Source organism: Homo sapiens, chromosome 17 (assembly GCF_000001405.40).
Source record: "Homo sapiens chromosome 17, GRCh38.p14 Primary Assembly".
NCBI classification, from domain to species: domain Eukaryota; kingdom Metazoa; phylum Chordata; class Mammalia; order Primates; family Hominidae; genus Homo; species Homo sapiens.
In genome coordinates, this window is record NC_000017.11 from 70,536,180 (window position 1) to 70,538,966 (window position 2,787).

General features: G+C 36.3%; 1 annotated feature.

The window, feature by feature from the left end:
- Positions 405–506: a silencer, noted in NCBI's record as "fragment chr17:68532725-68532826 (GRCh37/hg19 assembly coordinates)". NCBI's record gives its function as "represses an EF-1alpha promoter that drives an FKBP-Casp9 reporter gene in an ReSE screen in phorbol 12-myristate 13-acetate-treated (for megakaryocytic differentiation) K562 erythroleukemia cells {active_cell/tissue: K562(+PMA)}" and the evidence as "EXISTENCE:reporter gene assay evidence [ECO:0000049][PMID:32094911]".

Below are 2,787 nucleotides of genomic sequence, written 5' to 3' on the forward strand. Positions count from 1 at the left end.
GGTTTTGGTAGAGATGGGGTTTTGCCTTGTTGCCCAGGTTGGCCTTGAACTCCTGAGCTCAAGCAATCCATTTGCCTTGACCTCCCAAAGTGCTAGGTTTATTTATTTTTTAAGACATTTTAAATTAATTTCAGTCAAATACATTTTAGAAGAAGATCTTATACTGAGAAGGTATCCCCAGGTCTTTTTTATCCAAAATTGCATAAAACCTCATTTCTTTTCACTGCACAATTATTTTCAGTGTGCATAATATTCACCCCTAAAAAAATTATAATGATATATGTAATATTGGTATAGAATGCTGTATATTCAACTTAAGAAAACGTACAATTGCATTTGTGAACTAAATAACACGTTACTAACAGTTTATTTTCACTTTTTTTTTTTTTTTTTTTTTTTTGAGATGGAGTTTCACCTTGTTGCCCAGGCTGGAGTGCAATGGTGTGATCTCGGCTCACCGCAACCTCTGCCTCCCGGGTTCAAGTGATTCTCCTGCCTCAACCTCCCAGGTAGCTGGGATTACAGGCATGCACCACCACGCCTGGCAAATTTTGTATTTTTAGTAGAGACAGGGTTTCCCTATGTTGGTCAGGCTGGTCTCAAACTCCTGACCTCAGTTGATCCGCTTGCCTTGGCCTCCCAAAGTCCTGGGATTACAGGATTGAGCCACCACACCCGACCTATTTTCACTTATTTTTGTCTTTGTCTTGTGGGTTGACTTGTCCTGCATCTATTTAGCCCAGTAAATGTTGCTGTTCTACTTTTCCTGGCTTCATAATCCACTTTTAGGTTCTAGCTGCATCTCAAATAAATATTGGCAAAGCAATTCAAATCCTTAAAATGCCTCAGCAGATTGATGCATTCTAAGCTGGAGAAAAATAAAAACAGAATCATACATCATGTTTATCAGCCTTTGCCATAGAGTTCTTTGACTATAATGAATTCATTGAGTCAAACAACTTTTTCCATGTCTCTCTCTCACTCTGAAATCTGGCTAAATAAACGTGATGTTTAATATCTTGCAAGTATATTTGCATGTGATGGTAGTTTCCTGTGTAATTAAAAAAATGGGGAAAATGAGCTTATATATTGGCTCTGATAGAACATATTATGGTGGTAAATTTGAAGGAAGCTGAAGGGCAAACATAGCTGTTGACTTGGCAAGTTGTCATGACTAAGAAGGTATTCTGGGACCTATACTCAGTAAAAAAACAATAAGCCACTCTCAGCCTAGATTTTCTTCTTTGGAGGACTTGGCCGCCAGTGTCATTTGCAACCAAGAAAACTTTTATAGGTCTGTTCTTATCAGAGCCTTCCTTTCATGAACAGGCAGGTCAGTCAACTCATCTTCTTTTCTCAACAATTTAGTGAAGTCAGAAAGACTGAAAGACAAAGCAAAAAGAAAGCCAGAGTTACAGTGTTTTAGATAAGCTAAAGCATTTATTGTTTCACCATAGCGGTGGCTGATGCAGATATATGTAGCTAATATCTTTAAAATTCTGGTTGATTCCCTTTCTGGTTGGTTGCATACCTTTCCCAGTGTAACTTCTCAGTGGGAGTAAATGATGTTCATCTAGACCAAAGATGCAAGCTATCATTTCTGTTTCCTTCCCACATAGGTATTTGTCTTTGTTTTGCAAGATTTTCTTTCTCTATCCCTCAATTTAAAAGGCAAATTCCTTAAAAATCCATGGACAATTTCAGGTGTATAGTGCATGGTTCAATTGCCCCAGAGGATAATGTTGAAGTTGCTTTGCAGAGGGGTGCAAGAGAAAGGGGGGTGTAATCCAAGATAATAGTAAAAGCCGATAAGCATTGCCATTTCAGGAAACTCTGCCACATAACTTGGCAGTTTGAAAATTTAGCCAACCTTTTTATAGGGAGGTCATTAAATTCCAGTATTTCATACATATTGTGCTTCAAAGCAGGCAGGTATTCATTATTTTTACTTCATTTTGTTTTATTAAAATAAATGCTTCAGAATACCTTATGCAAAACAAAATCCAAATACATTTTTGAAAACACATGTATACTTTGCTTCTAAACTAGAAAAAACCATATTGCTGGTTTAGGTGACAATTCAATAGGAAGTGAAATTTTTTAATCTAATACATTTTTAAAAAGCTGAGAGTTTACTAGTTTCATATGTATTTTGCCACTAAATCCCTCTTCATTAAGGATATTTATTGCAAAATAATCATCTTTAGAAAAAGGAGGTAGATGTCTTGATTTTGAAACTGAACGATAACATGAAACTGAATAACATGCATAACCTTTACATTTAGAAACAAATTGCTATAATTGCCTCTTGAACAACAAATAAGCAAAAATAACATTAAAATTAAAATATTGTAATATTTCTTTTAAAATTATTTTCCTTTTTTTGAGACAGTCTCACTCTGTCACCCAGGCTAGAGTGCAGTGGCGTGGTTATGGCTCACTGCAGCCTGGACCTCCTGGGCTCAAGTGATCCTCCTGCCTCAGCCTCCCAAAATGTTGAGATTAGAGGCATGAGCCACCGTGCCTGGCCTTGTAATATTTTTCAAAAAACCGCTTCTTAAACCAGGAAGAGAAAAAGATATGCATCATAATTCAGAATGCAGTGTGTCAAATGACTTAATTTTATTTGATCTGCAGCAGAAAAATGTAATTTCTTATTTGAGATTCTTTGATGTTGCCATTTCACTTTTGCCTTTCTTGTTGGCTAATAGCTGGGAATTATTTCCTGGAAAAGTATCTGATCCATTAAGGAAAGAATATGACCATGTTTCGTGGAAATTAAAAAGT